This window comes from Homo sapiens, chromosome 12, assembly GCF_000001405.40.
Source record: "Homo sapiens chromosome 12, GRCh38.p14 Primary Assembly".
Lineage (NCBI taxonomy): Eukaryota > Metazoa > Chordata > Mammalia > Primates > Hominidae > Homo > Homo sapiens.
In genome coordinates this window covers 11,049,563-11,065,819 of record NC_000012.12, presented here as the reverse complement: position 1 = coordinate 11,065,819, position 16,257 = coordinate 11,049,563, and the positions used below count along the sequence as shown (strand labels likewise).

The following is a 16,257-nucleotide window of genomic DNA, read 5'->3' as shown; positions in this document are numbered from 1 at the left end:
AATGCGTAGACCATAATTTTAATCTCTTCTGTGACCTAAGTATTACAAAAAGAAGAAAATCACTACAATTTTCATGTCAGGTGTGCTAAAAATTTACAAAAACTATTTTTTAAGAAGTTGGTGTTATAAATACTTTGTTTAGTTTCTCCATTAAAAAATGATTTATAGCAAGAGAATAAAAGTTCATTTCTACCCCTAAAACAATAAGATAAAAAAGAGTAATGAATATTGAGAATCCAATAGACAGAGTTGAGAACCAGTTAAACATAAGAAAGAATTAGTGAATTGGAAGATAACTGCCCAGAATGAAGCATAAAGAGACCAAGAGGTAGAAAATATAAGGCTAGAGGGTCAGAGACATTGAAGCTACAATCAGAACAACTAACATACTTCTGCAGTTCCAGAAGATTAGAAGAGAGAAAATGGGCCAGAAGCATTGTGGAGATTTTTCCAAAAGTGGTAAAGTGTATCAGTTCATATATTTTTAGAAACCATCAAACTTCAGACAAGATAACTAAAACCAAATTAATATAAAATGACAGGACATCAAAGACCAATAAAAAACCTGAAAGGTAACTAAAGGAAAAGACAGATTATGTTAAAGGGAATAACTGTCTAAATGACAACCTGATTTTCAACAGACAAAAATGAAGCTAGAATTCAATGGAATCATGCCTTCAGTGCATTTCAAAAGTAGAATAGACCTTGATAAACAGAAACTTAAAATGATATTTTTTTCAGATAATAGAAAAATTATTATTATTATCAGTATTATTCTATGTGGAGTTGGAGTCTCAATCTGGTGTCCAGGCTGGAGTTCAGTGGTAGGATCATGGCTTACTGCAGTCTGGAACTCCCGGGATCAAACCATCCTCCCACCTCAGCCTTGTGAGTAGCTTCCTTATGCCTGGCTTTTTCATTTATTGTAGACACAGTTTCGCTGTGTTGCACAGGCTGGTCTTGAACTCCTGGGTGTTCCTGACTCAGCCTTACAAAATGTTGAGATTATGGGTGTGAGCCACCCTGCCTTGCCAATAAAAGGACTTTTTGAAACTATTAAATTGAATATGCAAAAAGGAATACAAATTAATGAAGTGGTAAATATGTGCATAATTCTAAATGAATGTTTACTGCATAAAATAATAATGTCTTGTTGGGGTAATTATATAATTGATAAGATACATGCAAATGGCAAAAAATAGAATGGAGGTAAAGCTGACAGGAGTACATTTAGTTAAATTATCTTTTAAACTTTTCTATGTCTATGAGGATATTTTGCACAATGACCCTGTAATTCTACTCAAAGGTATATATACAGAGGAATTGCATCAAATGATATATGAAAGAATGCTCTAGTAGAATTATTCGTAACTGTTCAAAAAAGAAGCTGGCCAAATATATATTAAGGATAGATCAATCATTACAGTAAATCCACACAATGGAACAGTATAGAGAAGTGAAAAAAAATCACATGTACTTGCAACTATGTGACTAAATTTCAGAAACACAATGTTGAGTCCAAGAAGCCACAAACAAGAAGAACATGTAGGATTGCACCTACACGCAGTGCAAAGCAGGCCAGACCAAGCGATGGAGTTTAGGGTTGCATACCTAGTTGGTAAAGTGTAAAGAAAATTAAGGAAATAATCACCATAAATTTTGGATATTGCTTATCTCAGGAGGTATGAAGAAATGTTTAGGGACTTGGAAAGTGGCATGGAGGTGGACCTAGGTTGTGTTTGGTGTTCCTTGTCTTGCCTGCATCATGGTTACTTGAATGTTTATGATACACTGCGGTATTTCCCATTTTTGTTTTGGTTCATTTCTAAGTGTGCATTATAATTTTAATGTAAAATGTTTAATTAGGAGATATGTCTCATAGAAATTATTATTATTCATCTCATTATATACTGATGGCAATAATAAACTATTTGTATACATTGTTATACAACTCTAAGGGAGTTGAAGTGAGCACTTTCTTATTTAGTTGCAACGTGAGGAAATTTGAGATGATGTTATCCTCCAACCCCAGAACTTTCCAATGGATTTCTTCTAGCCTTAATTATCGACCTCACAAGAACAAACCTTTGCAATTTCCCATCTGTTTTTGCTTTTGGCTCCTGAATTCCTGACACAACAAGGTTGTACATATTTCCCACACTCTTGGTTTAGCAGAGTTGATTTATCAGTTATGTTTTTCTGCAAGAGAAAAACCCTCCAAACTACATTAGATGTTTATATCTCACATGTTGTTGGATTTCATTTTTTTTAAGCTGGGTTTGGTGGATGGCTCTGTTTATTTGAAATGGACCAAATTCTGAATCTTGGTAGTAGTTAGAGTTTGGCCAATTTGGTCTGGATCAGGTGGGGGCAATCTGACTTCATTAGTTTCTCACTCTCCTTCTGGGAACAGTGTACTAGCCAGGTGATATTCTCATGGTAAATGGAAAGAGGAAGAATCCCCATTATGGAAGCCATCTGAAATCTCTATGCAAAGTGTAGTAATTTTCTGTTTATCAAAGCAAGTTAAATGGTTGTACTCCAAGTTCAGGGGCAAGGTAGTCAGCCTTCTCAGTGATGGCAGGATACTGCAAGACTATATATCAAAGGGTTGGGTACTCAGGAATTCTTATACAATTGCTAAATGTTTTGTATAGTAATAAATATTTAAACATTAGTCTTGAGAGAAACTTTACCAAAGGCCTAAGAATTAGAGATATGTTTGATAAATAAATATTATTCATGAGCTGAAAGCCCTGAGTGGGAAAATAGGACTAACTTCACCTAGACAACCTCCTGGAAACTCCTTTTTTTATTTTGGAACTGATGAGAAAATAATTTGTTCCATTCGTGAGTGGTGTGCACATGTGTGTGTTTGTGTGTGTATTTATGAGCTTGTGAATAATGAAGTTATACAAACGTATTAGCAGCAACCAGATTCTGAGGTTCTCCAGAAAATCTTAGATATTTTTGATAAAAGCAGTTTGGATTCTGTGTATTTAAATCTGTCATTTAAAAAAGTCCATATAGGTGATGAACTTAATTATGACCAAGCTCCTTTTAAGAATTTAGACATTTACTATATGATCTCTGTATTGGGTTATAAAACTTCCCTAACAACTGAAGTCACTAAAGACAAATGATGGAGAGGTTACACAAGGAAAAATTGCAAACACTGAAAGTGAATATGTCCTTGTTTGCATACTAGCAAATGAGAATTCAGGTTTCATGTCAACTTCAGTATGAATAATTCCAGCCTATAACAAGGACAGACAGTGAATGAATGGGTTAATTTGAGTTGTTTTGAAAATAAGAATATTTTCCATAAAGAGAGCGTTGAACTTACCCATTAGCATGCCATGGTGATTTCTGGCTTGACACTGGTCACAGCAATTAAAAGTAAAAAGAATGTCACAGCACATACACAAATCAGGTGCATATAGAATTTAAGGTCAGGATATTCAAGCAATCACAACCAGTGATATTACACCAGCATTTTAAAAATTTCTTTTTGTCTGTTCAGACATGATAACTTTTCTGCCCATCATTTTTTCCATTCTAATAGTGGTTACATTTGTGATTGGAAATTTTGCTAATGGCTTCATAGCATTGGTAAATTCCATTGAGTGGTTCAAGAGACAAAAGATCTCTTTTGCTGACCAAATTCTCACTGCTCTGGCAGTCTCCAGAGTTGGTTTACTCTGGGTATTAGTATTAAATTGGTATGCAACTGAGTTGAATCCAGCTTTTAACAGTATAGAAGTAAGAATTACTGCTTACAATGTCTGGGCAGTAATCAACCATTTCAGCAACTGGCTTGCTACTAGCCTCAGCATATTTTATTTGCTCAAGATTGCCAATTTCTCCAACCTTATTTTTCTTCACTTAAAGAGGAGAGTTAAGAGTGTTGTTCTGGTGATACTATTGGGGCCTTTGCTATTTTTGGTTTGTCATCTTTTTGTGATAAACATGAATCAGATTATATGGACAAAAGAATATGAAGGAAACATGACTTGGAAGATCAAACTGAGGAGTGCAATGTACCTTTCAAATACAACGGTAACCATCCTAGCAAACTTAGTTCCCTTCACTCTGACCCTGATATCTTTTCTGCTGTTAATCTGTTCTCTGTGTAAACATCTCAAAAAGATGCAGCTCCATGGCAAAGGATCTCAAGATCCCAGCATGAAGGTCCACATAAAAGCTTTGCAAACTGTGACCTCCTTCCTCTTGTTATGTGCCATTTACTTTCTGTCCATAATCATGTCAGTTTGGAGTTTTGAGAGTCTGGAAAACAAACCTGTCTTCATGTTCTGCGAAGCTATTGCATTCAGCTATCCTTCAACCCACCCATTCATCCTGATTTGGGGAAACAAGAAGCTAAAGCAGACTTTTCTTTCAGTTTTGTGGCATGTGAGGTACTGGGTGAAAGGAGAGAAGCCTTCATCTTCATAGATTCACAAGAGCAGCATTGTGTATCTTCTAGCAGAAAACAAACGTGTTATATGAAGCATTTTATATTTCTTACTGTGTTTTCTGTAATGTATGTATATGAATAACTTTCAAGCATGTACCTAGAAAAGTCTTTTACCTAACGTTAGTCTAAAAAAGTGCGTATGTATATATATGTATTTTTGTGTGTATGTTTGTATGAAAAACAAAAGAACATTGACAGTGACATACTCTTTTTTGTTTTTTCACACAAACTGCCAAATTATACAAAATATGACAAAAATTCTTAAGAATTATGAATCCATACCTATTTCATTTATGTATTTTATATTTCATTTGAATAATTTATGATCTATATTTATAATTATTAAGAACTATCAGCTTATCTCAGGAAAGACATTGCTGTTTTCTATTGTTATTTGAACCACACAAATATACCACAGTGTGCTTCGAATTCATTGTTTGAACCTGTAACTTTTTGGATGGTAAGGTCATTCAATTCTAAATCAATAATAAGGATGTGTCTTTGAGGTTTTATTCCATTATGAATTCCTATTTTATGTTTAGTAAAAAGCAATCAGAATTATTGATAGAAAACAATGCACACAATAAAATTTGAGTGACAAGCATATGTAGAGTAAGTTTCAACTATGTCTACCATAAACAGTTCTGAGGAATATTAGATTTAATACAAGCATGTGAATAGCTTAGAAAACAATCTCTTCTATAATAGGGATGAAAAATCATGATTGTGATCTTGATTGCTATTATCAGTTTCCATATGTAGTTAGAAAAGTCATTTCTTCCAGCTTTTGGATTAAAGAAAAGCTTTTTTTTTGAAGTTGAGAGGTGATGTAAACTATTTTAGTATTTTTTTCTAAAGCACTTTTAAGCCCCTGAATTGTTAATTATACCCTTACCTTCCATTTATAAAATTCCTTCTAAACTTCAGGTAACAGAACCCAAATCTTCCTTATTCTAAAAAAAAACTATCAATGTAAAAATAGTATAGAAATTATGGAAAATAAATCAATGAAATTTTTGTAAATGTTAAAATGGCATCTATGAAATCTATGTTTTAATTATAGAATGTGCTTTACAGTTATAATTTTGTTGTCAATGATGAAATGAAAGTGGTTGACATATTCATTAATAGGAAGTTCTATTATGAGATGGAAATGTACAGTCTTGTTCACAGCTAAATTCTACATGACTGTATTAATTTTGGTGTTATGAAATTTTAAAAATGTGATTTAAACCTTAAGATAAATCATCCCCACATGTGATTTATGTGTTTTTTTAAAATCATGTATCTTCCTCAGTACAATGTAAGAACTGTAAAATCAGATCAGAGATGATCTCATCTCTGTCTTGCTTTCTGTTGAATGTAAGATCAGAGAGCAAGATGATCTCATCTCTTTCTTGCTTTCTGTTGACTCCCAGGACCTAGAACCCAGCAACAAGAATAGATGGTCAAAAATGATATTTTAATGAACAAATAAATGGGTGGATAAAATGGGTAAGCTGATGTGGTAAACCAATGAAAGGGAAACTCATCACAAAATCTGCAGTTGCATGAATTCCCCTGTTCTGTTCTCAGGTTAAGGTTACAGGCTTATCCAAGCAGAATCCTTCCGCAGAGGAAAAGTTTGGCTATTCCACAATTTTAGGGGAAATATGACAATAATATAGTCTTGATGCAACTGTATCAGGTGTCTGAATTGGAGACAAGGTAGAACATCAAAATTAGATGGCGCCTATTACAATATTTTTAGAAAGCGTATAAACAACCTTGGTCTATTTGAATATGTATTTTTTTCTATTGTGAATTATATATTTGTATTATGATATTTTCTAGTTGATTATTATTTAAACAAAAATGGCATTTCATTTTAAAAATTGAGTTAGTAACCAGCTACTTTACTAAAATGTTTTTTATGTATTACCTGTTATTAAGGTGATGACATTTATTTAGAAATCAAGTTCAAGACAAAAATGGCAAGGATATGTGGAAATTGAGACAGGAACAAATGTGAAACAATGTGTGGTGATGTCTGGTATGGCTCTGCTGGCAGCCACTTCACAGTGAGGTGAGAGAGACAGCATGACGGTCATCAGATGCGTACACTTGGCTCCCAGCACTTTTCCAGAAGGGCTACAAGGGGAAACCACAGCCGGCATTAGTCCAGGGATGAGAGAGAGGAGGGAGAATGGAGAATGTATCTGCTCAGTTGTCTTCTGTATTTGATTTCCCATTGGCCATTGTTTCCCTGAGGCAGAACTACCATCTCTGCTGTTCTGCCTTCCATCATCCAGTCCCTAGGTGGAGGTTGTGAAAGTCAGACCTCATGCCCACAGTGTGGTGTTCCATTCAAGTCCCAAATGGAAGGATGATCTGGATCAGGCAAGGTGCTGGCCAGGGGAATAGGAGATAGTGAAGGGAATCTAAGAAAGCACATGTCTGTGTCCAATACCACCACTCTTTGTGCCGCTCAGATGTACTCATGCCCTCCAGTCATGGCTGGCTTTATGAGCATATGACTTGCACAGTTGCACAGAGGATACTCCTCTGCTGAAGAGGGAATGGTCTTGCACTAATTCCATAGGGATTTGCTCTCCCCTCTCCCACAGGCTTGTCAGAGACGTGCACAGAGTCCTATAATGCCCACTATGTATGCCTCTAACAGCTTTGAATTCTGCTGGATCATTTGGCTCAGTGGCCATAGCAGTTTGGATCAGAACCTATATCTGCTGTAGAGCCCTCTTTTGTTCTGGGCTCCATTTGAGACCAGTAGCCTATAGAAACTTCATTAATGAGTCAGAGCAATATTCTCAAATGTGGAATATGTTGGCTCCAAAATCCCAGTAGGCCCCCAAAACACTGTGTCTCTTTTGTAGTGATAGGAAATATAGAGAGAGAGCAACATGCCGTTTACTTTAAAAAAGATTGTTTTGACATGTGGACTAGGGACACTGAAAACCTGAAAACATCACCTATGTTGTCAGTCCCTGAATCTTCACATATCTCTTTTCTTCTGGTATTTTACTTCCATTCAATGTTATAGTATTTTACAATATTAAGAATCTTGCCTCTTCCTGTTTATTTTACCAAATAATATATAATTATTATTTGAGACAGGGTCTCATTCTGTCCATGAGGCTGGAGTGCAGTGGCAGGATCATAGCTCATTGCAGCCTCAACCTTCTGGGCTCAGTTGATTCTCCCTCCTCAGCATTGCTAGCAGCTGGGACTGCAGGGACACACCACCTTGCCTGGCTAATTTTGGTATTTTTTGTAGGGCTGGGATTTCACCATGTTACCCAGGCTGGTTTCAAACTCCTGGGCCCAAGTCAGCCTCCTAAAGTGCTGGAATTACAATCATGTGCCACAGGGCCCGGGCTGTAATATTATTAATATATTAAATTAGCATGATGTTTTTAAAAAAATGTAAATTAAACAGAGAACAGAAGTGACATAGTCCTGACATAAAACAGTGAAGCAGTGCTATTATTCTTACAATACAAGGCAAATTGTCTTGATTTTCCCTCATAAAGGGTGTAGATTAACAAATATTCACCAAATGACGAGCCCCGTAAAAAGTGCCAGAAGCTATGCTCTGCTCTGTGAAGACAGTACATCCTAGAAAGCATTTGTGAGTGTTGATTGAAGTTTATGGTAATCTGCACTCATTCTATAATCCATCTGGTTTTGGTAGAGGCCAGATAGGTTAAGTGAATCCGGTTATAGAAAGGACTACCATCCCCTGTAACTTGCAAGTGTTTTGTCACGGCAGTGACCAGTTCCATTCCTTAGGGAATGCGGTTATTATATTTTATACATTGGGTTGCCAGCAGTGGAGAATTTCAGAGGCTTCAACTTGGTCCTGCTATAATAATGTCCCTTACTCTACAGTTCACGAAGAATGTGAAAGTCCTGCCAGCTGCCATACGTATCCAGTTCAATTACACGTTCAGGAAGAGGTAGTAACTACAAACTGATTAGATCCACCTTGGGATGGACATGAGACAAAACTCTAGGTAGCATCTGACCTTCAAAACCTCCCCCTGCAGGCTGGATGTGATGGCTCATGCCTGTAGTCTTAGTAGTTTGGGAGGCCAAGGTGGGAGAATCCCTTGAGAGCAGGAGTTCCCTTTGCAACATATGGAAACTCCATGTCTACAAAAAATTGAAAAATTAGCTGGCGTGGTGCTGCATGCCTATAGTTCCAAATACTTGGGAAACTGAGGCAGGAGGATTGCTTGAGCCCAGGGTTTCAAGGCTGTAGTGGGCTATGATCCTGCCACTGTACTCCAGCTTGGGTAACAGAGGGAGACTCTGTCTAAGAAGAAAAAAAAAAAAAAGTGAAAGTTCTTACTGGTGTCTTAAATATCAAGTAAAACAGGTTCAAATCAATAATTAACAATCTTTGGTTCCTGCCTATAGCAAAAAGGTAAAATGGAAAGCAGTTATACAAATAGTATGTTAACTCATAAGAAAACTAGCCAAAGACAGATTTATTATCATCTGCTTTTTTTGTTGTTGTTTTCTCGAGACGGAGTCTAGCTCTGTCTCCCAGGCTGGTGTGCAGTGGTGTGATCTCGACTAACTACAACCTCCACCTCCTGGGTTCAAATGATTCTTTTGCTGCAGCCATCTGAGTACCTGGGATTACAGACGGGCACCACCACACCTGGCTAATTTTTGCATTTCTAGTGGATATAGAGTTTCACCATGTTGGCCATACTGGTCTTGAAGTCCTAACCTCAGGTGATCCACCTGCCTCAGCCTGCCAAATTGCTGGGAGCCACGGGCCTGGCCAATCATCTGCTTTTTATAGGTGATAATACTGAGGCAGGGAGTAGTTGTAAAATGGAGTCTCAGATCATAGCTATACCAAGCAGGGAATCTGGTTTCCTGTCCTGGCAGTCTGACTCCAAGATCCCCTCTTAGAAACCATCATACTGTAAAAACTGAAAGGAAATAAAAATCCAAGATTGGAGACTGATTTTAACATCTATTCATCTAAACCATTAAGTAATCAAAAATGAATTAAATAGAGGAAAATACAACTGACTATTCATACACAGAGAAGTGTAGACTCTTCAATGGAAAACATGTTTTTTAAGTGCCCAAGGAATAGTTATAAAATTGCTGAGTATTTTAATTAAACAACTAATATTTAAGTATTAGGCTCAAGAGAATAATTTAGTCAAAGTCCTAAATATGAGAGGCTAAGTTTGATAAAGATTGAAAATGCACTGAAAAGCCCAAGTAAGAAAATTATTTTTTCATTTTAGAAATTATAGGACAATAATATTTCCCAACTATGAGGTGTGTGTATGTGTGTGTGTGAACGTGTTTGTGTTAATGAGCTTGTTAACAATAAGTTATACAAAATTATTAGTTGGCAGCAACGAGATTTTTAGGAATATTGGCCTTCCTGGGCTTCCCAAGAAAACCTTGGATGCTTTTGGTAGGAAAAGTTAGGACTCACTAAATCTGGCACAGAAAAGGTGAATCAACAGTGGTCGTGATTCTAGTTTTGACCGAGCTGCATATAACAGTGTAGGCATCTGATGTAGGATCTATGTATTAGGTTAGAAAATTTCCCTTACAACTGCCATTGCTCAGCACAAATTATAGAGAGGTTAAACAAGGAATAAATGGCAAAATGATGAATAAGAATATGACCTGATTTGCATGCTGGCAAATGAGAATTCAGCTTTTACTTCAACATCAGCATGAAACATTTTATCTTATAACAAGGTCACAGCATTTGAATAGGAGTTAATTTGAGCTGTTTTGGAAATTATCATGTTTTCCATTAAGACAGCCTTGAACTCATTCAGTAGCATGGCCCGGTGCGTTCCTGCTTGACATTAGTCAGAGAATTTAAAAGGAACAAGAACATTACTGCACAATCAGAAATCAGGTGCACATAGAAATTAAGGTCAGGACCTTAAAGGGAATATTGCCCATTGATATTAGGCCTGCCTTAAAAAAATTCAGACATGGTATGTTTACTACTCATCATTATTATCCATAACAGTAATGGTAGAATTTGTATTTTCCCATAGGCACCTTCATTACACTTATATACTTATTTGATATTTCAACATATTATTTTCTTTGGGTCCTTTTAAGTAGTTGTTAAACAATGCTGAAAGTTGCCTTACAGTATGCTGTTAACTAATCATATTTTCTCAAAGTCATTTGGCATAATATTTGGTTAAAAGAAGTATGTCTAGTATAATTACATGTGTTCATAACAAAAGAGCATCCTGGCTAACACTCTACTAAAAATACAAAAAATAAGCCAGGCCTGATGGCAGGCGCCTGTAGTCCCAGCTACTCCGGAGGTTGAGGCAAGAGAATGGCATGAACCTGGGAGATGGAGCTTGCAGTGAGGCAGAGCTTGCAGTGAGGCGGAGCTTGCAGTGAGGCGGAGCTTGCAGTGAGGCGGAGCTTGCAGTGAGGCAGAGCTTGCAGTGAGCCGAGATCTCGCCACTGCACTCCAGCCTGGGTGACAGAGCAAGACTCCGTCTCAAAAAAAAAAAAAAAAAAAAAAAAAGAAACATCAGATTCTGAGCATCTGTATTACACTAGACACCTTTTTTTCTTATTTCCAATTTCATTATTTATGATAACATTTCAAAGAGGCAGAAATTAGTGAATTTCCAATAAATTATAGTAATATAGATATTAAATACACAGGACAATTTTTATAAATTTATCTCTAAATGAAATAATTATGCCCATTTTTACCATTCAAAGATTATACCATGCATGTGTACACATATGTGAGGAAAAATATTTTGATAGTACAAAGTTTTTGAATATTAGAGAAGAATTAGTAGAAAGATAATTTTGTTGAGGCATAAAGCATATTTAGTGTAACTACTTTGACTGCTGTAATAAAATCACCCAGATTTTGTGACAGTAGCTGAGATTAAAAATAAACAGTAGAGAGAATTTCACTTGTTAATAATGCTATTAAAAGATGAAGCTTATACACTTTATAATTGCACAGAGTATTTGTGTAAGTTCATATAAAAGTGGAATAAAATTAAACAGCCAAAAAGAGAGTATTCTTTGCTAGAGGTCACTTTTGGGGTAATTTTTAGAATGTGGTAAAAGAAAAAATATCTTGCAAATCATTAGAAATATGTTGATTTTGTGTTACTCTTGATGAAATACTATGTGAGGGTATTTGTCTAGGCCTGATTCTGAGAATAATATAAGAATCGAGCCAGGCACCATGGCTCATGGTTGTAATCCCAGCACTTTGGAAGTTGAGACTGGTGGATCACCTGAGGTCAGGAGTTCCAGACCAGCCTGGCCAATATAGTGAAACCCACTGTCTACTAAAAATATAAAAATTAGCTGGATGTGATGGACAGCACCTGTAATCCCAGCTACTTGGGAGGCTGAGGCAGGAGAATCAATTGAACCTTGGAGGCGGAGGTTGCAGTTAGCTGAGATTGTGCCATTGCACTGCAGCCTGGGTGACAAGAGCGAAACTCCATCTCACACACACACACACACAAAATGTAAAGCCATGAGGATGAATAATAGTGTTCTCCCACCACCCTTAACTCTAGTGCTTTGAAAAGAAGACTCGAATCACAATTATTTAGTAACATTCTCCCTTTCAGGTGACATCATCATCATTATTATCATCATCTACATTTACATCTGTCTTATTAAATGATTTATTTCTGAAATATTTACATACATAATTTGGGTAATGTCTATGTAATTTCCAAGAGATATCATTGTGGGAAAGTTACATTAGTAAACAGCAAAGTTCATGTCAGGCTGAATACATTGAGATTTAGAAAGTTAAGTGTAGTGTAGTGTAGTTTAAAATACATTGCTTAAGAAAACAATTATAGATGATATTAAACTAATCCAAGGAACACTATAAAAAGATTTTGATTTTAGTATAAATAAAATTGCTTAGTAAGAAAAATAAATAAACCATTTCATGATCAAGCTCTTATTTCTAAAGAGAGGATTTTAGGGCTAAATAAATCAAACAGAAGTAAGCTCTCCCCCACATCTTGTCTATATCATTTGGATAATGATGTAATTCAAAGGCACAGAGCACCTTTTCAACAACATAAGCAAAGTGAAAATTATGTCATGGAATACAATGATGTATCTGTGGTTAATGAACTATATTTTATCTATTGCAATGATATTTTGAAATCCAGTGCTGCTCTTTGAGTTCCCTTTGAGCAGAGTTTGTGGTGGGGACCCAGCAACAGACAAGCTAATATCCAAAAAAAGCTACTCACATCAACTTAATTTCCAGTTTCTTTCAAATTGAAGGTAAATTCTAACACAAAGCTTTTATTCTATTCTCTGACTAAAGTGTTGGGAAAAGAAGAAAATTGTTACCGTTTTCATTTCTAACATACTAAAACAAAAAACAAAAAATCAAAAAAATCAGAAACATTTTTAAAAAGAACAGAGTGTTAAGAGTAGTTTGTTCAGTTTTCCTATAGAAAATAATGTTCAGAAAGAGAATAAAAGATTATTCTGAACACTAAAACAATAAGACTAAAAAAATGAAATATCAGTACTGAGAATCCAATAGAAAGAGTCAACCAGTTAGAGCACGAGAAGAGATAATTAGTGAATTAGAAGATAGCTACACAGAATGAAGCATAGAGAGAAAGAAATGGAAAATGCAAGGCTAGAGGGTAACACACTGATGCTATCATCAAAACACCTAACATACTTGTAGAGTTCTGTAAGATTAGAGGAGAGAAAACAGAGCGAGAGAAATGTTGCAGGGATTTTTCCAAAAGTGAAAATGTATCCCAGCATATATCTTTAGTAATCACAAACTTCAGGCATGATAACTAAAATCAAGTTAACAAAAAATAATACAGGACACCAAAGACCAGTAGAAAATCTGAAAAGTAGCTAGAGGTAGAAGATAGAGTATGTTGATAAGAATTGCATTCTAAATACAACCTGATTTTAACAGAAAATATGGAAGGAGGAATTCAAAGGAATCATGTCTTCAGTGTGTTTCCAAAGAGTAGTAGACCTTCATAAACAGAAATTGAAAATGATATTTTTCAGATATAATAAAAATTACTGAAAATACAAAGTTGAACATGCAAGGAGCAATAAAAATTAATGACGAAAAATAAGTGTGTAATTCTAAATAAATGTTGACTGTATAAAACAATATTGTCTTGTTGGATTAAACGTATAATTGATAAGATATATGCAAATAGCAATAAAGAGACTGGAGATAAAGGTGACAGGAATAAATTTAGTCAAACTGTGTTTTGGGCTTTTCTATGTCTGTGAGGAGAATTTGAATGTCATAATCAAGGACCCTGTAATTCTACACCCAGCTATATAAATGCAAAGGAATTGTAGCAAATGATATGTGAAAGAATGCTCATTGTAGAATTATTCTAACAGCTCAGAAAAGAAGCTGCCCATATGTACATCAAATAAGGATGAATAAATAATTACAATAAAATCATAAAATGAAAAAACATAGAGAAGTGAAAAGAAATGAATCACATGTACATGCAGTTATGTGATTACATTTCAGATCCATAATGTTGAGCACAGGAAGCCATGAATACGAACATATAGGATTGTATCTATACAGAGTTCCAAGCAGACCAAACCAAGCTATTGAGTTTAGGGTTGCATACCTAGTTGGTAAAGTATAAAGAAAAATTTTAAAAAATGATCATCATAAATTATGGACGTTGCGTATTACAGGAGGTGTGAAGAAAGGTGTAGAGGGATGGAAACACATTGAGGTAAACCTAGGCTGTTAGCAACATTCCATGTCTTGCCCTACCTGATGGTTACATGAGTGTTTATGACATATTGCTATGTTTTCCATTTTTGTTTTGGCTCATTTCTAAGTGTGCAGTCTAGTTATAATATAAAAATTATTAATCAGAAGAAATGTTCCATGAAAATTATTATTACTCTGCTCATTATATACCAAAGGGAAAAATACACTGTATACATTCATGTACAGCTCTAAAAGATTTTAATTAGAAAATTTTTGATTTTAGTTGTGACTACTGAAAATTTGACAAGATGTTTCCTGCCAACCCCAGATTTTTCAGTAGATATTTCTTCTAGTTTTAATTATCTACTTCATGTGACAAAACATTGACATTTTCCATCTATTTTTCCCTTGGATCCTGAATTCCTGACACAACAGGGGTGGACATGTTTCCCACACGCTTGGCTTAGCAGAATACCTATATCACTTAAGTTTTTCTGCAAGAGAAAATCCTCCAAAACTGCATTAGATATTTGTGTCTCATATGTCTTTGGATTTCATTTTTGTCAGCTAGGTTTGGTGGATGGCTGTGGTGATTGGAGATGGGCCACATTCTGCATCTTGAAGCTACTTTGGCTGATTTAGGCTGGATAAAGCAGTGGCATTCTGACTCCATTAGTTTCTCATTCTTCTTCTGGGAACAGTGTACTCACCAGATGATGTTCTCACGGTGAATGGAAAAGAGCAAGAAACTCCAATATGGAAACCGTCTTAAATCTCTGTGTAAAGTCTACTAATTTCCTGTTCACTGAAGCAAATTACATGAGTGAATTCAGAGTCCAAGTTCCAGGTAGTCACCCTGCCTGTGGTGGGAGGATACTGCAGGATTATATGACAAAGTGTAGCGTACTTAGAAATATTTGCAAAATTGCTGACTGTTTTAATTAAATAATTAATATTTAAACAAAAAACAGACTTGAGAATAAATTTACCAAAGGCCTATGTTGGGCACAGGCCCCCAAATCTGGCCATAAACTGGCCCCAGTAAACTGGCCATAAATAAAATCTCTGCAGCACTGTGACATGTTCGTGATGGCCATGACACCCATGCTGAAGGTTGTGAGTTTACCAGAATGAGAGCAAGGAACACCTGGCCCACCCAGGGCAGGAAACCACTTAAGGGTATTCCTGAGCCACAAACAATAGCATGAGCGATCTGCACCTTAAGGACATATTCCTGCTGCAGATAACTCGCCAGACCCATCCCTTTGTTTCGGCCCATCCCATTGTTTCCCCTGAAGAATACTTTCAGTTAATCTATAATCTATAGAAACAATGCTTATCACTGGCTTACTGTCAATAAATATGTGGGTAAATCTCTGTTTGGGGCTCTCAGCTCTGAAGGCTGTGAGACCCCTGATTTCCCACTCCACACACTATATTTCTGTGTGTGTCTTAATTCCTCTGGCGCCACAGGATTAGGGTCTCCACAACCGAGCTGGTCTTGGCAGGCCCAAGCATGAGAAACATGTTTGATAAATATTATTCATTGTCTGACAACCCTGAGTGGAATATGACTAATTCCACCTAGATGACCTCCTGGGGAAACTCGTTTTCCAATTGGGGATTTATAAGAAAATAATTCATTGCATCTGCTAAGTGTGTCAGTGCATGTGTGTCTATGTATTGAGGAGCTTATTAACAATGATGTCATATAAATGTATTGGTTATCAGAAACCAGATTTTAAGGTGTATTGGCCTCCCAGGACTTTCCAAAATAATCTTGGATGATATTGATAAAAGGTTTAGATTCTGGTATTAAACAAACCATATTGGTATTATCCTAGTTATGACCAAGCTCCTTAAACAATTTAAACCTGTACTGTATGATATGTGTATTGGGTTTTAAAATTTCCCTATGTAACAACTGACGATGCTGGACACAAATTATGGAGAGGTTAGCAAGGACAACAATTGCAAAACAATTAAAAAAATGCCTTTATTTGCATACTAACACATGAGAATT

The 16,257-nt window shown here is 35.9% G+C and overlaps 3 protein-coding genes and 1 long non-coding RNA gene across 6 annotated transcripts in view; all 4 read left to right on the top strand.

Moving 5' to 3' along the window:
- Positions 1-16,257, top strand: part of PRH1-PRR4 (PRH1-PRR4 readthrough) — a 325,777-nt gene that overhangs the window by 105,806 nt on the left and 203,714 nt on the right. The gene's annotated exons all lie outside the window — the stretch shown is intronic.
- The window catches only part of PRH1 (proline rich protein HaeIII subfamily 1), a 290,647-nt gene that overhangs the window by 105,792 nt on the left and 168,598 nt on the right, over positions 1-16,257 (top strand). The window lies entirely within an intron of this gene.
- PRH1-TAS2R14 (PRH1-TAS2R14 readthrough) overlaps positions 1-16,257 on the top strand; it is a 234,202-nt gene that overhangs the window by 105,792 nt on the left and 112,153 nt on the right. The window lies entirely within an intron of this gene.
- Positions 3,526-4,455, top strand: TAS2R46 (taste 2 receptor member 46). Its single transcript, NM_176887.2, has one exon. The coding sequence runs from the start codon at positions 3,526-3,528 to the stop codon at positions 4,453-4,455; it is 930 nt and encodes a 309-aa protein (NP_795368.2).